The sequence below is a fragment of the Homo sapiens genome, chromosome 10, assembly GCF_000001405.40.
Source record: "Homo sapiens chromosome 10, GRCh38.p14 Primary Assembly".
Lineage (NCBI taxonomy): Eukaryota > Metazoa > Chordata > Mammalia > Primates > Hominidae > Homo > Homo sapiens.
The window spans coordinates 127,169,088-127,195,456 of record NC_000010.11 but is presented as its reverse complement, the minus strand read 5'-3'; the positions used below and the strand labels follow the sequence as shown (position 1 = coordinate 127,195,456).

Sequence of the window (26,369 nt, the reverse complement as noted above, 5' to 3'; positions counted from 1 at the left end):
TGCCCACGTGAAATGCTCGTCTCCTCCACTCGCTGGGGTTGGCACCTTCCCGGGGCTGCGGGTTGGGGTCGGCGCCGCGGGGCTTCCCGGTGCCTGGCAGCCCGAGTCAGACCGGGACAGGCGTGGGAAACCAACCAACGCTGCAGACCTAAGAGACTGCGAGCTGGCGGGCGAGGGCAGGAGGGAGGAGGGAGCCCGCGGGCAGCCCGGGGTCGGGGCAGCTCCTGGAGCCCAAAGTCAAGAGCGAGAGTCTGCATCTTGCTGGTTCATGCTCAGGGCTCCAGGCTGATGTCCCCACTGCTTGGATAAAGAGCCGCTCCCTGTGACCTCAGCATTCTACTACCCAAAAATATGCCACAGGGAGAGGGAGCCAGTGATAAAGAGATGCCAGGAGTGGGGGAGGAGAGGTGCCTCTGGAGTAAATAGGAGAGAAAATGGGTGCGTTTTGCTTATCTACAGCCCAGGGCTCCCGCCCGGACCCCTCTCCTGCTGTTGGTCTGTGCTGGGGAGCTGCACGCGCTCTGGGCCCCTGCGCCAGAAGCAGCGGTGAAGCGGTTTACTTTGACCTTGTCTGCTTAGGCGCTGAAATTCTGCGGAAGCATCCCGAGGTGAAACTGCAAGAGTGGGAATGAACTTTGGGGGAGCCCTGCCTTGGCTGGGAAGCCAAACGATCATTTCAGAAGACTACAGCTCAGGATAGCACAGGGTAGACGTCTGTGCACTTGAACGCTCCCCCCTCAACGAGGACTTGCTAGAGGGTTACCTTTCCATGCCTTATCTCAGTGGGGGGACTGTCAGAGTGACTGCGCTGGCTGGGTACTTGATGAAAAAATACCACTCACAAGACCCGGGCCATTCCCAGAGTAGTACATACATGAAAATGATATAACCCTTATTAAGCTTACGCTACAGCAAGTTACCGTCATTTCACTATGCAGAGGCGGAAAGTGCTGGTTTTTACTATTCCCCCACACTGTACTATTTCTTACATTCATATCCTGTTGAATGTTACTTTTGAAAGTTCATATTTATCTTTGCAATTTTTTTGCAAGAATGATTAGCAAACATGCACAAGGAGCTCAAAGAAAAAATGGAAGTCCTGCCATCTGCATGCCTCACCAGATATTAATCATTTACTATCCATGTTTACTACTTACATTAGATGGCACTGCTCCTCACGATGGTTTTATTAGAGGCGCATTTGGTTAAGGAAAAGAAAAAGTCTAGCACAGCTATCACTAATTGCATGATTTTGCATAAATTACATTAGCCATGGAGAGTTTTGTTTTCTTCACTAAATTCATCATTTTGTTTAAAAGACTAAACAATTCAGTTTAATTTCTTTAGCTAAATGAAAGACTTTTCCTTAAAGACAAGATGTCCTTGAAAAGCTACATATGTCTTTAAACTTATTACAGTTGCCACGACTTTGTATTTTATCATTGTGATTAAGACTTTGAGCTTTCATGTAAGTCAGGCCCTTTATCCTATTAAGAAACAGAATTACTGGTTAAGAAATAGGCTAACAAGGCAAAAGCTGGGAAGCTCCATGTCTGCACAATGAGATTTCTGCAAGCTCTATGGGAGGCTGGGTACTCTATTACTCTGTTTACTTCGGGGGCTTCTCTGTTTTGCCACAGTTGTTTTCCCCTGTGGCAGGAAAGGGAATTTTTGTGTTTTGTTTCTCCCTCTGTAGGGAAAAATTTTTAAATAAATCAATAAATAAGAGAAAGACTTGTACGTGAAAGGCATTCATCTACAAGGAAGACTCCTACACACTGAAATAAGCAGTCCAAAAATCAAAATGATTCTCAGAAATAACAACGGATCGCAGTGGAGTGGCAGGACAGACCCGTTCACGTAGACATTTGTATTCTCTTGTTTGCGCCCAGCCATGGCTATCTCATTTAGAGACAACTACTGAACTCTGGAATATGAGAAGCAGGTGACTTATGCTTCTCAGAGACTCATGATACAGAAATGATCACAGCTACCTCCCAAAGCAGCAGCTCTGTGGTCAGATATTTACGTAGGAGGGCAGTGACAGGTTCACCACGGATTTTAACGCTTGTGAAGGATGCTGTTCAACGCGTCCATAGCATCCAAGAAGCTCAGTTGGGAAGGCAGGCAAATTCTACATACTTGAGGCAAACCACCGTCATTCTGGGAGTGTGAGGTCATAAAAACTCCCCAGATAAAACCAGTGTCATCGTCATTTTCAACAGTCTTTCATAAATGTGAAGCACCACAACCCCTCCCCACCATGATTCCACTGGTTGGAGACCTACATTCCCCAACCAGAAATTAGCTGGCATGATTTATGAAGCAGATCCTTTTTTGTCTCACATATTTGATTTTAATATTTCATAACATTATGGGGTGACTTCAATATTTTAAAGCAAAATTTAATATGATTGATACTACATGACGACACTTTCATTACCATGAAATTCTCATACAAACATTGAGAGAAGTCTTTATTCCAATACTGGAGCTAACCTATGATATATATGTAGTGAAACTTCATGACTTTTAATCAGTTTATTTAAAATGTACATTGTTCTTATACATTAAGGACAGAATACAGACTTGCAGGAACCAAACTATAGGGACCCTGACAGGATTGCTGTAAACAAGTTGTTTGGACAATGTCTTGTGTTAAGCACTAAGCCATGAAAGGATAGGTTTGAACCTTTGGACCATGTGTGATAATGTGTCTGTTTCAGATCCTGAAGGCACTAACTAAGGTATCTCCAGGCAACCAAGGATCTTACCTCTCACATTGAGAAAAACCATAACTTCAGAGACATTTCCTGGCTCCAAATTCAAGTCCTTTCAGAGACCCCTCTACTGTAAGTCACAGGATATTCAGTGTGCATTTGAGTCGTACGTGCTTTAGACATTATTCAAACCATAATGAATGGGTTGAGGGACTTTGAGGTGTATAAAGATGTTATCAGATGACAAATCACTACCTGAATAAAAACAAAACATTCTAACCTGACAAATGTGTCTCTTTCTGCTGAGTATGTATTCCCAGCTCTAATTGGGACTGAGAGAAAATTAACTTGAATGTAGAACAGCAGATATTAGGGACAAGCAGGAATTATGATTCTAAATTACTCTATAAACCTTTTGGCTAACAACATATTTCAAAGGGATTTGGAAATAACTCTCCCCAAAGTCATTATTTGTGAATATTTATTTTATAGAGCACTGAACTGTTTATTCAAAGTATTGCACATCCATAGACATGTTCTCTTTACCACACTATCCTGCTGTTAGGAAGTTTGAGCAAAAAAAGAAAAGAAGAGAGTCTTACATCTCTGCACAGCATACATTCATATGAATTATACTATTCTATCCAATAGAATGGTAAAGAAACAAAAGAAAACCCCACCATATCAAAATGCTTGTTGAAGTTTATATTCTACTTAATATGGAAAATTCCAGTTCAGCCCTTAATAATCTAGCTTTGGCCATGAAATGAAATGCAGTAAACTACAACATATGAGAGACATGGGAAGGAGGCTACGGAATGCTGAAAATACTACAGGCAGCCTTGCAAATAAAAGTTGCTCTCACTCCATCTCAGCAGAGATGATCACAGCTATATCCCAAAGCAGGGGTTCCATGGACAGGCACATCCCAGAGAGAAAGAGGAAAAAGCACAGGCTGATGGCATGAGGGCCTTTTTACAGCTGTTCAGTTGAGGAAGCAGCATGGGGCTATATCCTATTCACTGCCAACCTTAATGAAATTGAGCAGTCTTTGTGTTTCTAGGTCATTCCACTGGTGATGTGAGATCCCCCACCCTTGTTCTTCTCTAGGAAGGATCTTGTATTTGTCAATGGTCCTTCTTCATGTTTTTAAAAATCTTTTCTATGTGTACTTAGTGGTTACATTTTAGATACCTCTTACTACCTGCATTTTGTACAGTGAAATCTGCTTATTTTTGTAGTAAGTGATTTTAGCATCCTTAAAAAATGCAGCAAAGATATAAAACCTGGGATTTTTAAATGGGGCAAGCATAGGGAAGGTAGATGGATATGCAGATGGCTTTGTTCAGAGAGGACTTCTGATTTGTGGATATGTACTGAGCTGTTGCAGCAGTGGCCAAGGCAATGTGTAAGGTGTTACAAGACCAAGTGAGAGGACTCCAAGAAGCTCAAGTCCAGGAGGAGGGGAGGAGGTGGCAAGGAAGTGGCAGGAGCCTAAAGACTCCCAGGTAGAATCAGGATAGGAGATTACAGGCAGAGAGTGATGCCCCGGCTCACTTCGTGGGTGATGCTTGAGATTGCACTCCTGAGCCCAGCAGACATTAGTCCTGGAGCTTAAGCCAAGTGGTAGGGTGCTCAGGGCTACAGACTTGTATGGGAAGAGTGAGAAGTGACATTCAGCAAAGGTTGAGGTGCTGGAATCAGAGAGTGGAGGCATAGTCTGGAGTCAGTTTGAGGAGGAACCAGCAGGGCAAGAGGGTCCTCTGTTGATGTTTGAAACAAGAACATATATTCTCAGAAGATTAAGGCGGTATAACTAGAGGCAAACCAGAGGAGAGGAGTTGGAGACCAGTTGAGAAGGTGTCACAGATGAGAATGTGCCAGTCTCAGTAGCACTGGGAAGTAAGTTAGGGGGCAGCTATGAGTAAAACCTTCTGGCAGACAAGTCTTTGTAATGTGGCAAGATAGAAAGAAGGGATTAAAGATGCTACCCAAGGCCAGCAAGGCGGTGGGGGATTTTAATGGCAACAGAAATCTGGGAGCCAGCAGGAACGGGGGGGGGGGGGGGGGGAAGATAGGATTTCTATTAAATATTTGAGTGTGAATTTTCAACTGGAAATATTATTTAAAAAATAAGTTTTTCATTATCTCTTACGTCCTAGAATGTCCACAAGAAATACTTTGAAATAGGAGGAAATTGGATGAAGCGATTCACAGCGCAAATCCTTAAATGACTAAGCATAGTAGTATCTATAACAGGTGCTTAATAAATATTTAATGAGGCTACTAACACAAACCTAGCCAGTGATTTTGCTACCAACTCAGGGAATCCTGATTGGGAAAGAATTGTTTTCTTCCATTTCCACTTGTAACTTTTTGTGTAGCAGGAATTAAAGGAAACACCGTGAGAAGGCAGTAAAGAGGAAGACGGCTTCCAGGGCTGAACAGTACTGACGTCTGGCCATGCAGTGTTTAGAAAAGAAAAAAGCACCAAAGGGTTGGGTTCTTTACCACCAAACTCAACCTCAGCGATTCCTTTGGTGAAAATTCAGTTGGGTAGAAGTTGAGTTTTTAGAGAAAGAATGTCTTTGAATTTGGTGACCTAGTATTAGGGTAAAAGAAGCAAATAAGGAGAATTGAGAAAATGTATCTCACTGCAGTCAGATAAATTAATGTTCTTATAACCCAAATGCTGACATTCTGGGTTAAAAAGAGTTTTCACCAGAGCTCACCAAAAAAACTGGAGAGTTCATCGGGCCAGCATGAGAGAAGGAGATGTCTGTCTCTCAGCCTTAACCTCACATCTCAATTTGACGTCGTGACTTCAACTCCATTGATCTCTGTGCCAGACCCACCAATTTATCATTTTAAAAATCAATGACAGCGCTGCATAAAGATTATTTTTGTCTTTTTTTCCTTGCGTAAATCACACTGCACAGTGTCCACTTAACCGTGCACTTGAGACTCCCATAGCTTAGATAATGTGCCATGTGCAAACGTACTGTGTGAACTTAAAGGAATGCTGAAAATATGCTGTTCACTTTCAAACCGTATTTTTCATTTGACTTCTTGCCCAATGATAACTGCATTTCTCAATTACTTACTGTTTTAGTTTTAAAGGTAGTTGTTAGCTCAGTGGCTTCACTGAAGTCATTCATATCCTCATTTAATTTGTTTTGCACTTGCTATTTATATTTTAGTCTTGCTATATAATATTTATTCTGAATATATATCTACTTTATTTATTGTGTCTATCACATTTGTCCATGTGGCAAAAACACCCAGGGTGAGGCTGAATGACAGAAGTTAGCAGGTGGCTGGACACTGGAGCCTCAGACAGAGTGCCCAGGCTCACTGGCAGGGTTGGCCCCACACTGCACTGGGCAGGTCAACTACTGAGTGAGTGGCAGAGACTGGACCCCAACTCACTCCTAGTAATTATTTAAAATAATTCCACATGGAAGCATCAGTTCTAACTGTATCTGAAGAGTCAGTGAGAGTGACCACTAGCAAATGCAGCTTTAAAGTATAAGTCTAAGACAACCGTACAGTTTTTAATCAGCCACTCAAGGTTGGAACCTTCTGGTGGTGATTCTCAAGCTTGTGTCTCGTAGGTCCTGCATCCAGTGTCATCCACATGCACAACACATCCCAAGGTGTGCTGTCTTTGTGTACATCCACTTCATCACCAGGGCTGTGTACTGAGCGCTTCCTAGGAGCCGACCACCTGAGCCCTGACCCAGCTCACAGTGGAGTGCAGCGTGGTGGTGCGGTAACAGGCTCCAGGCCAGGCTGTCCTCCTTTGCCCTCCTGGCTCTGCCAGTATCTGTGTGACCTTTGGCATGTGACTCCACTACCTGTGCCTCTGTTTCCCCATCTTTATTACAAATAGTAATTTCTCCTTCAGAGGGTGTTTGGAGAATGAAAGGTTCAGACATACACAAAGCACAGAACGGTACCTAGCTTGTGCTGAGTGTTATACACAAGTGTTACCTTTTCTGATCTTTGCTCTCCCAGGTTAGATCACTTGCCCAGAGTTCTGGGCTATTAAGTGGAGGGGAAGGGCCAGAACTCAAATCCAAGCAGGTGGTCTCAAAGCCCCAGTTCGTAAGGACTACGGCCAGAAATTAACCACGTTAGCAAACCATGGTAGCATGGGAAGACCTTGAGCACCCCCTCTCTAATGCAGAAATTCCAGAGTTATTCACTGTGCAAAGACTGTCAATGTACGAATGACTGGTCTCAAACCCCAGATCCATGGTTGAAAAGAGCTGCCCCAAGCCATGGAATTTCTAGAAGGGAACAGAATTCTAAATGTTTTGCGTCTCCAACCAGAAATATATATACATAAAAAAAAGTGTGAATATGCCCTATTCCTACTATGGGTCTGCTCAGTGACAATTTACTTGGAATTTGCCATCCCATAATTAATGGATGTTGTGAAAGACCTGGATTTTCATCCATGACAATAACTGGCCACTAGCTCTCTCCTCTGTGGAACATGAATCCACCCCATCTGTTTGTGCACAGCACAGCCCAGCCAGGCCAGGGCACAGACACTCTGTGGGCCTGTGTGGGATCTGCTGGTGATCATCCCAACACCTGGCTGATGTCCAGGTTCATTCTAGAAAAAAATGGAAGGGGCTCAACCTCCCTGCTCCCCCGTGACATTCACTCATTCATTAAGCCCTTCGTTCAGTCAATATTTCTGGGTACTTTTTGTATGCCACAAACTTCTCTAAGCTTTGGAGATACAGCAGGAAATAGAAGACAACAAAGGGTGAAAAAGATAAAGGAAGAAGGCCAGTGGTTCTTTATCGTATGTGCATTATTAAAATTATATTAGGCATTTAAAACAAACAGTGGAACCCAGTCTCCATCCTCCAGAAGTTCTGATTTACCTGGACTGGGGTAGAGACCAATATGCTTTTGCTTTTGCTTGCTTGCTTGCTTGCTTTTCTCTCTCTTTTCTTTCTTTCTCTCTTTCTCTCTTTCTTTCTTTCTTTCTCTCTTTCTTCTCCTTGTTTTTTAATGGATTAACTTCCTGGCCTCCAAGTGTGGCCTTCGAGGGAGCGAGGCTGAGGGAATAGAGCCCTTAAGGAAAAATGCTTGTTTACCTCCTTCCTGTAGGAGGACAGCCACCCCCTGGATTTTCTTCTACGTGGCAGGATATGCTCTCTTTAAAAACCCACACACAAAAACAAAAACCAAAACAACTTTTAAAAGACTCCATTTCATCCACACCTATGCTCTCCTCCAAAGCTTCAAGAAGGCGAAAGCATACAGGGGTCATGTGAGGTTTTGGAAAGATTTATGTTTTCCTTTTTCAAGATCTTTTTAGCATGCTCAAGTCCACAGAGAATCATTTCACAGATCATCAGTACTGCTTACTCACTACGATGCTAACTTCTATTCATGAACTACACAGGCTTTTGCTACTGTTCTCTTTCTCTTTTCCACAAGCCTTGTAAAGTAGCAGGGCATCTGTTCCAAGGAGGTGCTGGAGAGATAAAAAGATAGAGGCAAACGCAGGAATATTTGCTGAAAATGGGACTCTTCATTGAGTTTAACACTTAATGTGTTATGTGTTGGGTGCTTCATAGAACAGGAAACTGTATGATGTCCTGCTTTGGGTGCCTGCCCGAGCCTGGGCTCTTGTTTTGCCCCGGGGTGAATTGTCACGTTCCCTTCTGGACAGGAGATGGGGTTGCTGCAACTGGCCCTTTAAGAGCAACCAAAACGCTGGGAGTCATGGCTGAAGGCTATCAAAACTCTATGTGCCTGATTCAAGGAACAGCCCACAGATGTCCCACAGCTGACCTGGACTTATGTTCCAGCACACATCCCCTTCCCCTCCTGTATCTGTGTGTGCATGTGTCTGTTTGTCTGTGCATTTCTCTCGACTCACCGTTCCCCTAACAACCTCTCTCTCTTTATACATCCCCATTGCCCTTCTCCTTCCTCTCCACGTTCATCTCAATGGACAACAGCAGTGTGGCATGAGATTCCTAAGTACTGCGCTTCCTTATTTAGTATAATTTTATATTCATTGTTCTCAGTCTAAAGAACAGGAAAATGAAAGCTATTTCATTCATATGTTTATGCCCCTCTGATACGGTTTGGCTCTCTGTCCCCACCCAAATCTCACCTCCAATTGTAATCTCCATAATCCCCATGTGTCAAGGGTGGAACTGGGTGGAGGTAACTGGATCGGGGGGGGGCGGGGGGGCGGTTTCTCCCATGCTGTTATCATGATTGTGAGTGAAATCGCAGGAGATCTGATGGTTGTCTATCGGATGTGTTAAGGAGAGCCTCCCAAGTAGCTGGGATTACAGGCACGCACCACCATGTCTAGTGTCTGGCATTTCCCCTGCTTGCGCTCATTCAGTCCTGCAGCCTTGTGAAGAAGGTGCCTGCTTCTCCTTTGCCTTCTGCCATGATTTTAAGTTTCTTGAGGCCTCCCCAGCAATGCAGAACGGAGAGTCCGTTAAACACCTGTCCTTTATAAATAACCCAGTCTCAGGCATTTCTTCATAGCAGTGTGAGAATGGACTAATACACCCTTGGAAGTCACTAGAACCCTGGGTATGCCCCAGACCCTCTATTGTTTTTTTCCCTCTGAAAGCCAGTGATTCATCCTCTAGAGCAGATTAGACAACTGAGTTTAGGAAAGGTGCCATGCTCTAAAACGTTGTTATTCCAAGCTATTGAGATTTTTTAATTAAACTCAATTTATTTTGCCACTACCATATCTTGGGAGTACCCAAGAAGAAAGTTGAGTAATATAAGAACAAACCTTCTGATAATTCCTAGCAAGTCACATTTTCTACAACAGTATGGGGCCCCAATATACTGCATGGTTAAATATAGAACCTGTACCATTTCTGTGCCATCTACTCATTTTTGTGAGTGTGTGTGCCATCTCCTTCTCTCCCATCAGCACCGGAAACATTTGTACAACAACCACTCAAGGTAGTCATGCCAAAGTTCAGAAGATAAAGATCTCTGGATATGGTTTTACCTCAACGAACAAAACTATCCCTTCTCCTTTCCACTTCTCTAATTCCTACTCATGTTTCATTATACAGCCAGGTTCTACCTAATGTGAGGATCCAGATAATGTAAAAAGACTCCTTGGAAGCCATTAATATTGTACACTCATCCTAAGTCTTCTTGCTGTATCTCAGCTAAGGTCCCAGCTCTAAGGATACTGTGATGTATAGTGTTAAGATTCTCTTGCTGGAGTGCAGTGGTGCAATCTCGGCTCACTGCAACCTCCCACTCCCTGGTTCAAGCGATTCTCCTGCCTCAGCCTCCCAAGTAGCTGGGATTACAGGCACGCATCACCACGCCCAGCTAATTTTTGTATTTTTAGTAGAGACGGGATTCACCATGTTGGCCAGGATGGTCTTGATCTCCTGACCTTGTGATCCACCCACCTCAGCCTCCCAAAGTGCTGGGATTACAGGCATGAGCCACCGTGCCTGGCCAGTGTTAAGATTCTTAAACCAGTAAGTAAAGAAGGATGACTGAGCATAGGAGGAAGACTTAGAGGGACCTACTCCACAGAACACTTATATTTGTGTTAAGGAGAGAAAACCGACACAAAGCAAAGCAAAGTGAGCATCCTTCAGGCCTGCTCTTGCACATCTCCCAGGTAGAGCCTACCCTGACTCCCCAGGGAGCACTCTCAGTACTTCCCTCCTCTTACATGGTCTTGTGCACAGTGGACTGGTGTCAGGCATCAACGTGTCTCTCTCCTGCTGGACTAGACACTGCCAAAGAGTATGCCTTGTTTTTTCCTGTGTGCCCAGCATCCAGTATGGTGCCTAGGTCACCCCAGGCATGCACTGTTCAGTGAGTAAATGAAGGTGACAGGTAAGGACTGGAGAAGGCATAGAAGATAAGACTAGATCTAGACCACCAAACACAGACTATCCATGAGGAAGGAGGACCAGGGCGCGGTCCTGGAAAATGAACCAGTGGAAGTGAAGACACAAAGTAGAGACTGACCATGGTGTGTTCAGGAGACAGTGCAGGAAATGGCTTAATGGAAGTCAGCAGATGGAGCATTTCTGAGTAGCCAAGAGAAATCTAGAAAGATGAGCAGGTAGGAAAAAGTATAGATGATCTTATAATAAGAGACTCTTTGGAAGTGCTACCAACTGGGATGTATCCAGGTATATGCACAGAGAAGCGACGTGTGCACTTGAAGCCAAGACTAGCAGGACCTGCAGGATGGGGGACGGGGGTGGGGCATGGGGGAATGGAGAGCTGAGGGCAGGAGAGTTATGAAGGCCAAGATCAGGGTGGGAACAGTGTGGAACTAAAGGGAAGAAATCAGTAGGAGAAGCAACAGGAAGGAAAAACAAAAACGAATAGGGCATGGTGACGACTGATTTGGGGGATTAGACTGGGGGGGGAATGAATTGAGCAAGCCGTTGGCAGCACTTGTTGGAAGCCTTCAGCATAAAAATACTGACAGAATCTACTAAGTTGGAGATGGGTCTCGTGACCCCAATGCAAACCAAGTCCAGTCCTGCCTTTAACATGGGGTGTCTTTTGCTCCAAGCTCAGCTGGGGTAAGCACAGTAGCTGTGTTGCTGGGTTGAGTCCAGGCCACCCTTGGGTCTCAGGCATTACATCATGTCAGACTGCTTCCCAAGAAAGACCACTGAGTCCTCCTCCTCCAGATTACCAGAGACACTGCCAAGTTTTTCATGCACAAAGAGATAAACCTTCGAAGACATTAGATGAAACTTTGTGAGGGAAGGATATGGTTTCATGTTTTTAAAAAGTAGCTACTTATTATCATGCACAGAGAAGACAGAGGTTCACAACAGCTGCTGGTCAAGGGAAAAATTAAACAACCAACTAACCTGGCAGAGTAACACCAGGATTGATAAGAGGTAGATTTTTAAGGAATAAAATATACAGTTTCAAGTATACAATATATAGACCTTTTGTTTATTTTCTCTTCACCAGCCCCCCAACAAAAATGACATTTTGTGTTATGAATGCTAAAATTTCGCTCTGTGCACACTTGCAATGAATAGCTCATTCAAACCAAGACAGTCTTTTCAGACTAGGCCATGAACTGCAAACTGTATGAGGGCCGAGAAGATTACAAGCACTAACTCTTTCTGCAGACTTCGGTTAGGATTGTGTACATGGACCCCAAGTGCAGGTTATTTTCTCTACATTTGGCTATCAGCTTAGGAATAGAAGCTCATTACAAGAAATGCTCAAGTCTCCTTTTCTTCCTGGCACAGCTACCTCTGCAGTGAACCGAAGACCATGCAAAGTTTAGGATTTGGCCAAACCAAAGAAACATTGTGGCATTTTCATACTACGATGAAAATACAAGAGGGATCCATTCTGATGGTCGAGTTGATGGGCATTCCCATGGCCTTGCCAGAAAGACAGACTGCATCTTCAACTCTAAATGACTTCCATTGTAGTGACCATTACCTCCAAGCAGATATCCTGCCCTGATTGTCCCAATAGGGTATCCTCAAATAAGACTGGGAAGTGTCAGGGAAAACAGACTCCTTTGATATAAGTCATTTTTAGGGGGGAAAAAATCAATGTCCTAGTTTTAGTTTCAGATAAATCATGAGTCAAAACATGCTGTTTAGTTAAAAAAAAAAAAAAAAAAAAAAAAAGATTCACCATAATCAGGAAGGCAAAGCACTCCCCAAGTACATTCTAGTATGTATCTTTGTGTTTTCATGTGAGTGAGATTCCCACTAAGTCTAAAAAAGGGAGACCACCTCTTCTGTGTCCTGCCAACTCCCGCCTCTGATGGGCCCCAAACTACCAGCTGATTGTTGCTTCATCACCAGGAAGCCTCCAGGGTCAGTGGGACACCTGCTATCGTAACTAAAGGTACTCATGAGCTGTGTTCAAAGCACAGCCCTCCTGTCTCACACTCTGTCACTGTCATGATGATGGGAAACAGGGAGGCAGGGAAATTAGTTCCTTTTACCAATCTCACAGGTGATTTTGGTGAGTTGTTGGAACCAACTGTACTGAACTCCTTTTGGCCATTATTAGCTGGCATAGCTAACTGCTGCAAATAAAACTTTTTTTACATTGACATAATGTCTCATTTCAAGGAGGCATATTTTCCAGTTGATTTTCACCAACATCATAAAATTTTGGTAATTCATCTCTATGAATGTAGCAGGATGAGCAAAGGTTAACATCAACATAAGCTGAAAATCAAAGAACTGGGTAGTGAAACATAAATTAAAAGTCTGGACCATTTAAGAGGGCCATTCCCTGGTTCTTTTAAAACATGAGCACCAAGCACCAAGCCCCAAGCATGCATGCTTGCCCTCCTTTGTTCTCACTCCCCGAAGTAGGCCAGTGTGAGCCTTTGTGGTTTACATTATGTGGCTAAAGCAACTGACCATAGGTTTTTTTGTTCGTTAAGAGTGTTTTCTAAAACCGCAGATATGCATGAGTGGGGGCTGAACCTAAGATAGGTTTTCTTCTGCCTCGATGCCTACATTTAACCTCTGTGAGTGCCCCTTTTCCCTGCTTTGGACTAGGTGGTCATCAGTTCTTAATGACAGAGGTTTCACTGCAATATTCTACACATCGAGGGAACGGGGCGTGCCATCTCCGTGTTTCCTCCAAGGAGCCATAGTTCTGCAAGAAAACAGTTCCTCACGCATTGCTCAGTCACACAAGGGTGTCTGAATTCATCCAGTCACCCCTTTTTGGTCCTCATCAGTGACCTCTGCTGAAAACAACAAATGTAGGGAAAAAATAACATTTCACTATATAAAGAAAATTAAACCGGATAATGAATCTAAGACACAGTCCACCATCTATGGCAGCTGGCTTTGCCCCAAGGAAAAGAGGACTTCCAGTTCTGAAGACTCAATTGGCACCTATGAAACAGGTCTCTAAGTTAACTATTTCACAATGTGAGTGACTTCATTTAGTGAGTGAGGTTCTATTTTACCTCCCCTTCCGGTGGAAGCCGGTGGTGAAGAATGGGATGTTCATTTTCACCATTCTCCCATTCTGAGTAGCCTCATGTTCAGGCACCCCCTTGGCATATGGAAGAAAATGCTGACCCAGTTCATCTTGAATCCCCACCAGCATCTTTGACTCCAAGGTGTCTGAACAGTGAGAAAGCCACTAGGAAAACCCATAATTTCATACAATCCCTTGTGGCACTCCTCTGACTGCTTGCCTAGCTATCTTACTATATGCGGAGACTGCTGGGCCCTGGGAGGTGTCTCGGTCAGACTGGCAGCTGCCTGCATCTTCCCCCACAAATCCCATCACAGGGTCAAACTGCAAACCTGCAAATCAGCACGGACATTTTAAGAATGGACAGAATCCAATGGAGAGTTTCTCTTGGCAGCTAATGGAACCCCACAAAATTGCCTTCAGACTATTGAGTCTGTTTTATTTCTAATTAAAACAGATGCTAACTTCCTTCCTTACAGTACGTTTGCTCAAATATTGACATATCTTCTGCTAAACATTTAACTATACATAGCCAAATACATACGCAGGCACGTATATACCTATGCATATATACATACATATACACACTTGAAATTCATTTTCATTCTTTATCAGGGCTCCCTCAAAACAATAAAAGATGACCTTTGACAAATTACTTATAGCCCCATCTCATCATTTCTGGGTTTTTCTTATTCTGATACTAGTGGTTATGCCTTCCAGAGGCCTGCTTCAGGTGTGGATTAGATTTTACCTTGTGTTATTTTCATTGGCAAAACCAGAACGACGCTGTACCTCCCTCCATTCTCCCCAAATTGGAAAACAGAAGGAAAAATAAATCTCTCCGAATGTGCTATCTTAATACCACAACGATGACCGTTTTTGTTCATTTTTTTCCAGTATAATCTGTAGACTGCTTTGTTTCACTTAACATTATTTCGTGTTTTTCTATGATACTAAATAATCTCTATAATTATCCTTTTAATGGCCGCCCAGAGTGAATGTAAACCATAATTTACTTAACTGTTTACCTATTGTTAGCCATTAAGTTGCTTCCATTTTTCACTTATTTAAGTTGGAATGCACATTTTCATATCAGCCATTAATTTAAAGCAGCATGCAGAGATGGTTCTCCGTCACTAATCTAAAAATGCAGGGTTTATGTATTTACAGCTCACTTTGATTATGAAATTTAATTTGAGGGTAATTAAGACATTTATATTCCAAACAGCTCCTCGACATCTAGCTCTCTCGAGCCAAACAGGCACAACCATGACTAGCCATTTTCACCTCAAGACAGCACAGTCCAATGAATTCTAAAACACAATTTTCTTACGAAAAATAAACTTTATGAACTCCTGCTGCTTTAGAGCCAAGAGATCAGCTCCCCAAACCAGAGTCCATGGTTCTCTAGGGTGACCCAGCCAAGGCAAGCCATCATGAAGAATCCTATTGCAGCTTCATGCTCAGTCCAGAATTCAAGGCAACATTCACTCAGTGCTCCAACACCCACTGTGTTACCGGAACTACCTGGATGTCCTTGCCTAACCAGCACCCAGATACACTGTGGGAACAAGACAAGGGCATTGCTCAGATGAGTTTCAGTTGTTTGATGTTTTCAAGTTTATCATGGATCACTTCAAGTTACAGAGTTCCTTGAGCAGGGGTAGTGGGTTAGGGCATGTGATTCAAACGGATTCAGCTGTTTCAATGGGTGTGGCCCACTAGCCTCCTCACTCTGAGCAAGTTGCAAAAAATCCCAAAATCGTGTGCCTCGGTTTCTCAATCTGCAGTATGAGGGTATCAATAGTGGCTGCCTTGTAAGGATATGATGAGGATCAAATCTAGAAAACACAACTGCTATGCATAGGGGAATGGTGACATTTGATTAGCACATAGGAGCACTTAACTGCATGCTTACTGAATGTTAATGCTACACTGTAACGTATGTACATTCACTTGCTGAATAAATGCATGAAGGAATGATGAATGAAATAGTGTGGGAGAAGGTTCCACTTGTCTTAGGGAAAGTCCTCTGTAGAATGCCCCATTTCCTTTCATAACAAAATCATTTTCTTAATGGTAATCACTGTAAGCCTTACCCTCCACCCCCAATAAAGAGCAAATGAACACCCCGAAAAGATGTGTCCACCTTAGTAATTCTTAATGTCCAGAAATTCAATTTTAAAGCTTTAGAAAATGTCATCCAGCCGTCAGAAAGAACTCATAACCTCATTTGAAGCCAAAATAAACCAGCCACAAAAATTCCTTGGTGTTTTCCCTATCAGAGAATAAGAACTCAATTACTATTACTGTTTTTTAAGTCAGCAATAACAAACTAAAGTGATTAAAAATCCTAAGTATTACCATCATTTTTTTACTAACAACGAAATGATTTTTATGTACCAGCAACCCTCTATAAAACAGAGAAGAGCTTAGAATTTTTTATTATTATTTGGCCACCAGCAATTAATTCTTCTGATTTGTTGTATTAGTTTGATGGTTGCGTCCAAGACCTAGAATATTTCTTACCCCAGCCAACTGATGTAAGAAAATTATTTCAGTGCAGTCCCTAGCAAATGGTGATGATGAATAGCATGGCAGGACAAACTTATTCAGACACACATTTTTCAGAAGTAGCAGGGAAAAGGCTGATAAATTACTAGTAAATTGCTTTTTGTAAAAATGCTCTCTCTTTCAAATTTTCCCTAGTATGAAGGTCTTCTGCAGAATGATGGCACAATACATTCTGACATACCTGGACAACAAAGGCAGTTAAAGAATGAATAGGAGATCAGAGTGAAGGTTAAGATTTAATTTTCTTATTCCACCCCCACTGCTACCCATACTGTCCCCCACACCAAGCTGTCTTGTGTGCATCTGTTTAACCTGCTGGGATAAGAATCTCTAAAAGCCATCGATGCTTTCTCCTGAGCAGGCACGCCTTGTCCCTCCTTCCACCTATCATCTAGCCATCCCAAACGGGGCCAAGATATTGGTGCATCTCCAGTCTGTTTCTTGCCTTTTCTCTCCTCTCTAAAACTGCCCAGTTTTTCAAGTTTCAAATTGCAGCAATCTCCAAATACCCCCAGCACCTAGTAAAGCACCAAGGACTTCCTTTGCTGTCTACGCAAGCCTCACCTTTCAGGACACACTATAGGATAATCGAACAAGAGCCCGAGGCATCCAGAGGTGCAAGGGCTAATGCAGTGGTTCTCTGCCAGGCAAGACTCTGCTCCCAGGCTCATCTGGTAATGGCTGGAGACATTTCTAGTTGTCACACTGGGAGGGAGCGGTGCTACTTCTTCAGTGGGGAGAAGCCAGGGACTGCTGACCACCCTGCACCGCACAGCAAAGCCCCTCCAACAGCAAATGATCCATCCTGAAATACCAGTAGTGCCAGGATTTAGAAACTCTGGTCCCACCTAAATCAAATGCTGCAGAGATTGTTTTTTGTTGTTCTTACACATGATTACCTGTTAGTTGTTCATAGCATAATGTATGAAGAATTTGATTCCTTCACTCTTTCATCCAGTGAACAGCAGTGGAGGCCAGCAAGGTGACAAGACCAGGCTGGCCTGAGACATAGAGGTCATTTTAATAGAGGGCTAGTCATGTCACTTACTTTTAGATGGTGGCTGTGAAGTTGTCTCTTCTTCCCCCTTATGGAACCACCGTGCACCTCGGCCTGTCATGCTAACTCAGTAAGGGCTAAGGATGTGGGGAGGGGTCATGCCTCTGTCTGTTGGACAGCTGGGTCTATGAGAACAGCATGGATTCAGCGGTCCACTAAAGTAGGGTCCTGCTCCTGCCTGCGCTGCTTATTTCCTGTGTGACACCGAAAAATGACGCAACATCTCTGAACCCTAGTATCCTCCTTGAAATGGGAAGTGTAGCCTTGACCTTCAGGAACATTTGTAAGCAAGGCATTCTGTATGTGAACGAGCAGAGCATCTGGCACTCGAACCACCTCACTCCAGAAGCAGTGGCCATGCTGCGCATGTCATAGTTCTTGTGGCATTTTCCAATGAGTGCTGCCACAGGTCTCTGGGCTGGTTTTTCAGACACCCCCAGGACAGGGCACAAGGTCGGCAGCTGGGCTGGGGGCAATGTGGACGAAGTCTGTTTCTGTGCAGCTCTCACGGGCCCATGTCCATGACCTTGCCTCTCTGGGCACTCAGCTCCAGCCACTCGGGCCCCGTACACCCTCAGTGCCTTCCGTTTGACTGTTTTCTTCTCAAACACAAGGGGGGAAAAGGCGAAGCCTCACTCACAAACAACACACTTAACTCTATTTTCTTGCTTTAAGCGCAGCCATCAAATAAGTTCTTCCATGTGCAATAAACAGCTGTGAATCCGCCTAATAAAGTGAAGGCATTTTACCCCACTGGTATTCCCCGAGAGGAGTCATTGGCCACCTGCATCTTTTTAGCTGCATTTAATAATTCAGCCCAGGATGAATTTGCATGATTAACATAAAGCCTCATAGTTTTATTTGCTTTCAGAATTTAAGTACTGAAACCACCACCATTGTTTTCATTTTCGGAGGTTGTGATCACAACACAAAACTTGATTCTAGAATGAGTAATTTCTTTTATTTTTTTTTTTAAGAATTATTTTCCAGTACCACTCTCCATGGAATAAAAGGAGTTGCAAACATGGCCTTTGTAGATGCAGGGAAACCCACGTTCCTTTTAGAGCTGATGTTAACCCATGAGAAGCGACCACCCCTCGACGACTTCTCCTTCACGGTTCCCACCCAGGAGCACGGCCAACTCTCCCCCGGAATCCATAACGGCTCACGCAAATAGATTTCTTTCCGTTCCTCCTCGGAGGGCTCTCCACATTTATCTGCTCGAGACGTGGCAGCTCCAGTAAGTCTTTAAAACAGCAGCTCTCCCAGATTCCAGCAATAGATTAATGACGTCATCCTCAAAAAATAGTCAAAACGCAAACCAAATAAGTAGCACTTGGTAAACCATCTGCCTAAGAAGGGGAGTCACGCGTGTGAAAAGATAATTTGCAAAGCAGAAGAGGCAGCATCATTGGGTTTCTTGATGAATGTAGTAAAACAGGTTTGTCTAATGGGGAAACATGCATTACTGTCAAAAGGAAAGCGAGTGTATCCCACCTGGAAAAGCAAGCAGGCTTTAATATCTGAGAAGCATTTCAAGCTGTGCTGCCAGCGACTCTCAGCCCGTGTGATTTTCCTTAACATAAAGGCCGACCTCACCTGCTTAAATATAATTAGGAAACAGGCAGTCGTCGTGGTGGCTAAAAGTTTGTGCGGCCGGTGCTTGAGTGTGTATTTCTGTCCCACTGACACCTCTGTTGCTGTTTCTGAATGCAGGAACCATGGTCAGTAAGGACACCGGCAAATGCATACTCACAACGTCGGAGAGTGAAGTGGAACCCGCCGCCTGCCTGGCCCTGGAGATGAAATACGCCCTGGACCCCAACCGGCAGATTAAAAAACGGAACAAAGCCCTGCAGGTGCGGTTTAAGGATATCTGCGAGGCACAGAATGAGCAGAGGGACACACAGCTGTCCTCGGGCCAGCTGGGGGAGAAGCGGGAGGCCAAGCCCGTGTCCTGCAGAGCAGCCTACCGCAAATACATGACAGTGCCCGCACGCAGGTCCATCCCCAACGTCACCAAGAGCACAGGCGTGCAGACCTCGCCCGACCTTAAGAAGTGTTACCAGACGTTCCCTCTGGACCGCAAAAAGGGGAACCTCAAAAGCCTCCCAGCTGCAGATCCCTTTAAAAGCCAAAACAATGGGTTTCTAACAGATGCGAAAGAGAAGAACGAGGCTGGACCCATGGAGGAGGCCCGGCCATGTGGCGCGGGGCGGGTGCACAAGACCACAGCCTTGGTTTTCCATTCCAACCAACACATGAACACAGTGGACCAGCCTTTGGGGGTCAACTGCACAGAGCCCTGTAAAAGCCCGGAGCCGCTCAGCTATGGAGAAGCTGCGCTCCAAAACTCCACTCGGCCTCCATCCGAAGAGCCCGATTACCAGCTGCTCGGGAGGGCCAAGCAGGACCGGGGGAGGCCAAACTCCGAGGAGCCCGCTCCACCTGCCCTCAGGAGGGTGTTTAAAACGGAGGTTGCCACCGTTTACGCACCTGCCCTCAGTGCCAGGGCCCCCGAGCCTGGTTTGTCAGACTCTGCAGCCGCCAGCCAGTGGTCACTCTGCCCGGCAGATGACGAGCGGAGGAGAGCCACACATCTCAACGGGCTCCAGGCGCCCTCGGAAACTGCCCTGGCCTGCTCACCCCCGATGCAGTGCCTGTCCCCCGAATGTAGTGAGCAGCCGTCGCAGACTCACACCCCGCCGGGGCTGGGGAACCAGCCTAGTCCCACAGCGGTTGCTGCAGGTGAAGAATGCCAACGAATCGTGCCTCATACGGAAGTGGTCGACCTCAAAGCACAACTTCAGATGATGGAGAACTTGATCAGTTCAAGCCAAGAAACCATCAAAGTGCTCTTGGGGGTCATTCAGGAGTTGGAAAAAGGAGAGGCCCATCGGGAAGGGTATGTATGTTCACCCATGTCTTAGGAAGCTATGCAGGCTGATCACCACAGAGTCCATCTGTAGCCCCAAACCCAAGTCTGTAATGAGACTAAAGCCAGCATTTCCGTAAACAGGTCATAGTCTAAGGGCGTGGCGAGCTCCAAGGGGTCGCAGATTATTTTATGATACTAGACGTCACTGCATCCTGCACGATACGCTTTCTGGTTAATGTTCATCTTTCTGGCCTTGAATTCAAACCATACCTATGCTTAGAATGAATTGATAGACCTTTCCTTTTATTCTGCTAGGGCTAAAGGTTTATGATATTGATAATGTATAACAACATATGCCAGTCCAAAATATCTATTCTAAATAAGAAGAGAATCAGGAAGAGAAGAGGCCACAGGCCTCTTAGGAATCGTATTAGGAAGAGAAAGGAAATTTCATGTGACATTTGGAAAAGTAAATGCTGACTTGCTTATAATAAATAATTGAAATAATATTGGTATTCAGGACTGTACAAGGCTTTACATCATAGACAGTGTGTTTTCCATTCTGTACCTGGAACCCAAAGAAGCAATGGGCATTGTGAGACCAGTCCTGACTGTATATGATTAGGAGACAGATGCCCTTCCCCACGGGCTGCCCTATGTGTCCAGTGGGGCTGCAGAAAGAATGATACTAACTTCACGGCCAATACTTTATTGCGTTGATAAGACCATCTTGCACTTCATGTTTTGAAGTTTAAACTGTGCAGCAGCATCTTTAAAAACAAATGACCTAAAGGTGGGGTTTTAGTTCTTGAGCTCCCCAGTGCGGAAGCCTCCTACAGGCCGGCATGTGCTCAGCTGATACAAAGCAGCCTGTTCTACTCTGGGTCTGGGGGTTATCGGACTTCGCCTGGATTGCCGAGACCTCTCTTGCCCATTGCCCCTTGAAAGTGTCTGTGTTCCTGCTAGCCTGTGTACTGGAGGTAACATCGGAGGCAGCGCCCTGTTGCCTCATGTGATGTGCACCCTTCACTCTGCGAGCCCTGAGCCCTGGGTTTAGCAAGCTAGAAGCCAGCCTGAAATAAGCCAAGTAATGTATTTCCAGGACAGAAAACCACCTGGGCACAAAGTTTCCTTAAGAGGATTGCTGTGGCTGAGTTAGACAGTTTGCTGACTGCAAAGAATGGGGAGGAAACACCTCCTGCCTTAAGGTGGAGGCTGAGGTGAAAGGCCCAGCTCCAGCAGTGGAGAGGCTGGGGCAGGTCCTGCCCTGGGCTCTGGCTGCTCCAGCTTGGTGCAGGAGGCCTGTCTACAGCTTGATGCTCTTAAGCAAAAAGAACTGCCAGCCAAATGTACAAAAATCTTAACAGTAGATTCATAGGTAATCTAACACCATATAACATTTCCAAAAGGCCTTGTTCAATCTTGGGTTTACATCTCCATTTTCATCCCATTTCCATCAGTACAGATCCAAAAGCAACACTCATCAGGCGTGGGGTGGGGGAGACCAGTGATTTACTGATCAGTAGTCCACATTCCTGCAAAAAAATTAAAAGGTCAAACATTGACCCAGTCACTGATGTTGATATAGTTGGTAGTGAATTAAACCAGACAGCAAAAGAGAAAGATGCCAACATCTTTGGTGAAATAAAGTTCACCAAATGGTGTAAAATGAAATATGTACACTAATGTGCATACTCACAGGAGTGTGTGCCCAAAGAAGAACCTGAGAGGGCTGAACACCCACGAACACAAGAAAGGAAAACCGTACGATATATGGGAGCGCCTTCTTACACTCCTCTTAGAACAAGTATGGAAGATTGCTTTAAATAAGATCCTCAGGGTTCTCTGAGATGCCATCCATCTAGCAGTGTGGTTCTCAGTTTACTAAGACATGTCTGGGTAGGAATCTGGCACTGAGGGCTTGGGCAAGGGCTGTATGTCTCTGTGCCTTCTTTCTTCACCTGTAAGTTGAGATCACTGTCTGTCCTGCAGACAGGGGATGGAATGACATGGGGTGACCTTCTAATGTGTTCAGCCTAGTGGCAGGTGTGTCTGAATGGGTAGATGTCCACTAGTGGCATGAGTGTTGATCTTGCTGGCCAGCAATGCTGGAGCAGGGGTCTGGGGAGGACTTAGTGGTCTTGTGGGCGTCCAATGTGATGAATGCATCCCCTATATGCCCGGCACACAGGCTGCCACACAAGACTGTCCCTGAAACTCTGGAGCTGCTCTATCCAATACAGTGGCCACTAGCTGCACGTGGCTATTGAAATTCAAACTCAATGACAATTGAAACTTCACAGTCACAGCAGTCACATTTCAAATGCTCGATAGCCACATACATAAGACAGTGCAGCTACGGAACATTTCCATCATCACGAAATGTCATTCACTCCGGTATCCCAGAACATGGCACAGTGCCTGGTTCTTAAGCATCTGAGGACTTGGGCACCTTAAATCAAGACAAAGGATGGTTTTACTTTAAAATCAATCCTAGTTCAGTTGCTGCCAGCACAAGCTCACGGTGGAAGGTAGAAAGGCAGGTCTCTGTTGTGTTCCTGGGAACATTCACTTCCTCTCTCTCAGAGCCCTCTGGACTCAGATAGCAAAGAATCAAGTGCCACCTTATGGGCTCCAAAATTCAAGGCCACCTTATGGGGCCCCCTCTTGCTCAATGCCCCAGGGTCATTAATTTGGCTGAAATTCAAATTTCCCACCCGTCTTCTCCATGTCAGAACATAGGAGAGGACTGCAGCCTCAGAGACAGGCAGATAAGATGCAAGCTCATTCTCCATCCCTTCCCAGACCCTGGGTACAGCACAGAGTCCCAGGAGTGACAGCTGTGAGCAGTGGCAGCCAGCACTGGGCTGGGACATCTGGAACAACAGGCTCTGGAGGGAAGGGAAGTAGCATCTGCTGATTTCCATGGTGTAAATACTGCTACCGTGGCCAATTTCAATCTCATGAAATCCTAAAAATGTAACACTCTGCTCCACTCAGCACCCAACCAATCCCTTGAAGGGCAAGTTCTAGGACTTTAGAACGAGGGATTCACAGGGCTTACTTTATGTACCAGATCTGAACTGGGAAGTTGGTATTTTAGTTGCATCTCATGGTTTAAAAAAACAAACAAACAAAAAAAGAAAACAGGAAAATGCACTCTGTGTACACTGATACATAGTTATTATATGATACGACAATGAACTCAAATGACCAAGTTAAAATATCAGTGGAGGCCGGGCACGGTGGATCATGCCTGTAATCCCAGCACTTTGGGAGGCCAAGGCGAGTGGATCACTTGAGGTCAGGAGTTTGAGACCAGTCTGGCCAACATGGTGAAATCCCGTCTCTACTAAAAAATACAAACATTAGTCGGGCGTGGTGGCGGGCACCTGTAATCCTAGCTCCTCCAGAGGCTGAGGCAGGAGAATTGCTTGAACCCGGGAGGTGGAGGTTGCAGTGGGCCAAGATCACACCACTGCACTCCAGCCTGGGCAACAGAGCGAGACTCCATCTCAAAAAAATAAAAATAAAATCAATGGAACTTTTCTTGGAAAATATTCTAAAGCCTACAAATCAGGAGCTGGAGAACACTCTTGAAGCTGGGGAAAGTCAGTTCCTCTCCCCACTTGCCACCCCAATAAAGCATACAGGGGCTTCCAACAGAATTTCATCTGCATTCAGAAGAGTCCTAGTGAGGGCAGGCACCTCGGAGCCCATGAGTTTGAATACAAGTGACAAATCTTGCCCCCACATTTCCACACTATACTTAAGGTCTGACCTGGCCCAAAGGGGTCATGGGCCTGCTCCTTGGGAAGCCAGTATTCTTTGAATCCCGCTGATGGCCCTGGGCAATGTATGTTTCTTAGAACATGTTTATTGTAAAATCTCTTTAATAGGACTTCTTTTCACTATTGAGTTTGTCAGGCAAGTGCTTCCCTGTAGTTCTTAACCTGTGCAGGAATTTCTGTGTCACTGGCTACAACCGCTCTCAGTAGCTTCCAAATTATTTTTCGTAAGAGACTCTCCTTCATTATTTTCATTTGCTTATGTAGATTTCCAAATGGCTTCGGCAGAGAATGTTTATGGCTGAGACAGGTTAACCTCTGTGAGCTTCAATTTTGTCTGAAATCAACTAGGGGTGGTAGACACTGAAATACAGTATCTACAAAGCTCCCACTTATAACCAGCACACAGTTGGCGCTGAATAAAGGACATATCCTGTTACGAGCATTTCAGTGGGATGAATTCTGCAAGTAGGTTAGATGTGCAAAAAGTATGCAAAATCACGCCTTTTAGTCCCTTGTAAAACACTGGGGCAATTCACTAAAATCACTCTGCTTTATGCAGTGCGGGCTTGCATGAATGCCAAGAATTATCCTGCTTATTTCAGAGCTCTTAGTATTATGCTTGTGTCTTCTGGGGAAGTTCAGGGTCACACAGGCTACCTAAATAAGTCACTAATGGGAGTCATTGAAGGCTAAGAACAAGGCAAATGGGACAGTGGATTTAAAAAACCCAATCAATTATTAGAACAGTGCTAATTCACTGTAGCAGCTATGGGATTCCTGGGCAGGAGATCCTCAGACCAATGGGGTGTAGGTCTTGGTGGCTCATTGGGTAAACTCACCAGCAACTACAGTGTGGCAACCCCGACAGCGCTCTTTGCCTCTTAGATTTCCTACGCCAAACATTTAGTCTCTTGAAGTGTCCATTGGCTGGTGACAGCCTAATGATACTCTGCTATTTGGAGAAGACCAGAAATGATCGTGAGAAGCTTTACTTGAGGATATCAAGCACATGATCAGAATCTGTCACTGCCCAGAGTGAAGCAGATTCTTCTATGGGCCAGGCCTCCCTCAGCATTTGCTGGGTGTTACCTGCAGGCTTGGGGTAGGGGGAGAGAGCAAGAGGACCCCAGGCCCTTAAACATGACCAGCAGGTAGTGATAAGACCCTGAGGCTTCGGGGCTTTGTGACTTTACTAATTCAGAGCAAAGGCAAGAGTATGATTAAAAACAGAAAATCCTAAGTAACACACCAACCCAAAGAGTCTAGTACCTTGCAGGAAGGGTGGCAAACCCAGTCATTTATCACCTCCCATCATCCCTGCCACCCCATCATGGGGGCAGTTCCCTGTCAGCAGGGGTTCTGTTCATCCTCATTGAGAAAGGGTGGTTTCTTGGTGGTGTGAGGCCAGCTCTCCCAAGTCTCGGGCACACAGTGGTAAAAAAAGAAGCTAAAGGAACCCCCTGAGTTCAGGGGCTCTGTGAGGGTGCCGCTTACGGTGGTGTTCAAGACAAGGGAGAGAGGAAGAAAGAGCTGAGGGATGGAACGAGTTAATACAGACGAAGTGTGGTATCCTGTACCAAGGTTTGCTCAACTTTACCAAAAACAATGAATAGCCAACAAGTAATGGAAGGTCATGTGCACATACACATACTTAAGAGGTAAGGACTTAGTCTCATGGACATCTGTGTTTACTGCAGGGGCTCAGGGTCAGCTCCTACATGGCAGAGGTCAGCAAACTTTTCTGCAAAGGGCCAAATAGTAAATACATATTGACAGCCAGTCTTTGTCACAATGATTCAACTCTGCCATTGTATCCTGAAAGCACCCACAGAGAATCTGTATGAATGGGCATACTTGTGTTCCAATAAAACTTTATTTACAAAAACAGGTGGTAGCCAGATTTGGGCCACAAGCCATAGGTTATGGACTCCTGATATATGGTTTGTAAATACAGTGACCATATTCATACAGCTAAAAATGTTCAGGCCAGAATATGGGTGCAGGCAGTCCAAGGTGTGTGACTGCCAAGCACACCGGCCTATCATTCATTCACACATTTAGAAGGTTTCTGCCAAACATCACTGAAGTGATGGACACTGTGCCAGGCAATGAGGGGATGTGAGAGTCAAAGGAATTCGGGCCCAGCCTTTGAGGGGTTCACAGTTCATCGGCATTCAGGCTGTTCAAATATACGCTTAATTGTTCATCAGCCCATACAACCTGGGGTCCTGCTTTGGAACTCTGTGTGTGTATGACACACATATACCTAATATGTATGTATAATGTATATGACAGCATCTCTTGGAAACATGAAAAAGGTCTCATTCTCCCAGCAGCAGAAATAAAAAGCCATCACAGAA

At 44.8% G+C, this 26,369-nt stretch overlaps 2 protein-coding genes across 33 annotated transcripts in view; one reads left to right on the top strand and one right to left on the bottom strand.

Moving 5' to 3' along the window:
* DOCK1 (dedicator of cytokinesis 1) overlaps positions 1–26,369 on the bottom strand; it is a 547,089-nt gene that overhangs the window by 257,060 nt on the left and 263,660 nt on the right. The gene's annotated exons all lie outside the window — the stretch shown is intronic.
* INSYN2A (inhibitory synaptic factor 2A) overlaps positions 1–26,369 on the top strand; it is a 61,162-nt gene that overhangs the window by 1,135 nt on the left and 33,658 nt on the right. For 2 of the 12 annotated variants that reach the window (XM_047425639.1, XM_047425634.1), the window contains exons 1-2: positions 183–18,580; positions 19,057–20,245. In XM_047425639.1, coding sequence (XP_047281595.1) covers positions 19,062–20,245 — 1,184 coding nt within the window. In that variant the 5' untranslated portion in view covers positions 183–18,580; positions 19,057–19,061. Of the gene's footprint in view, positions 1–182 lie in introns of those variants that run through there. The other 10 variants (XM_047425636.1, XM_047425637.1, NM_001039762.3 and 7 more) reach the window with 9 other exon arrangements.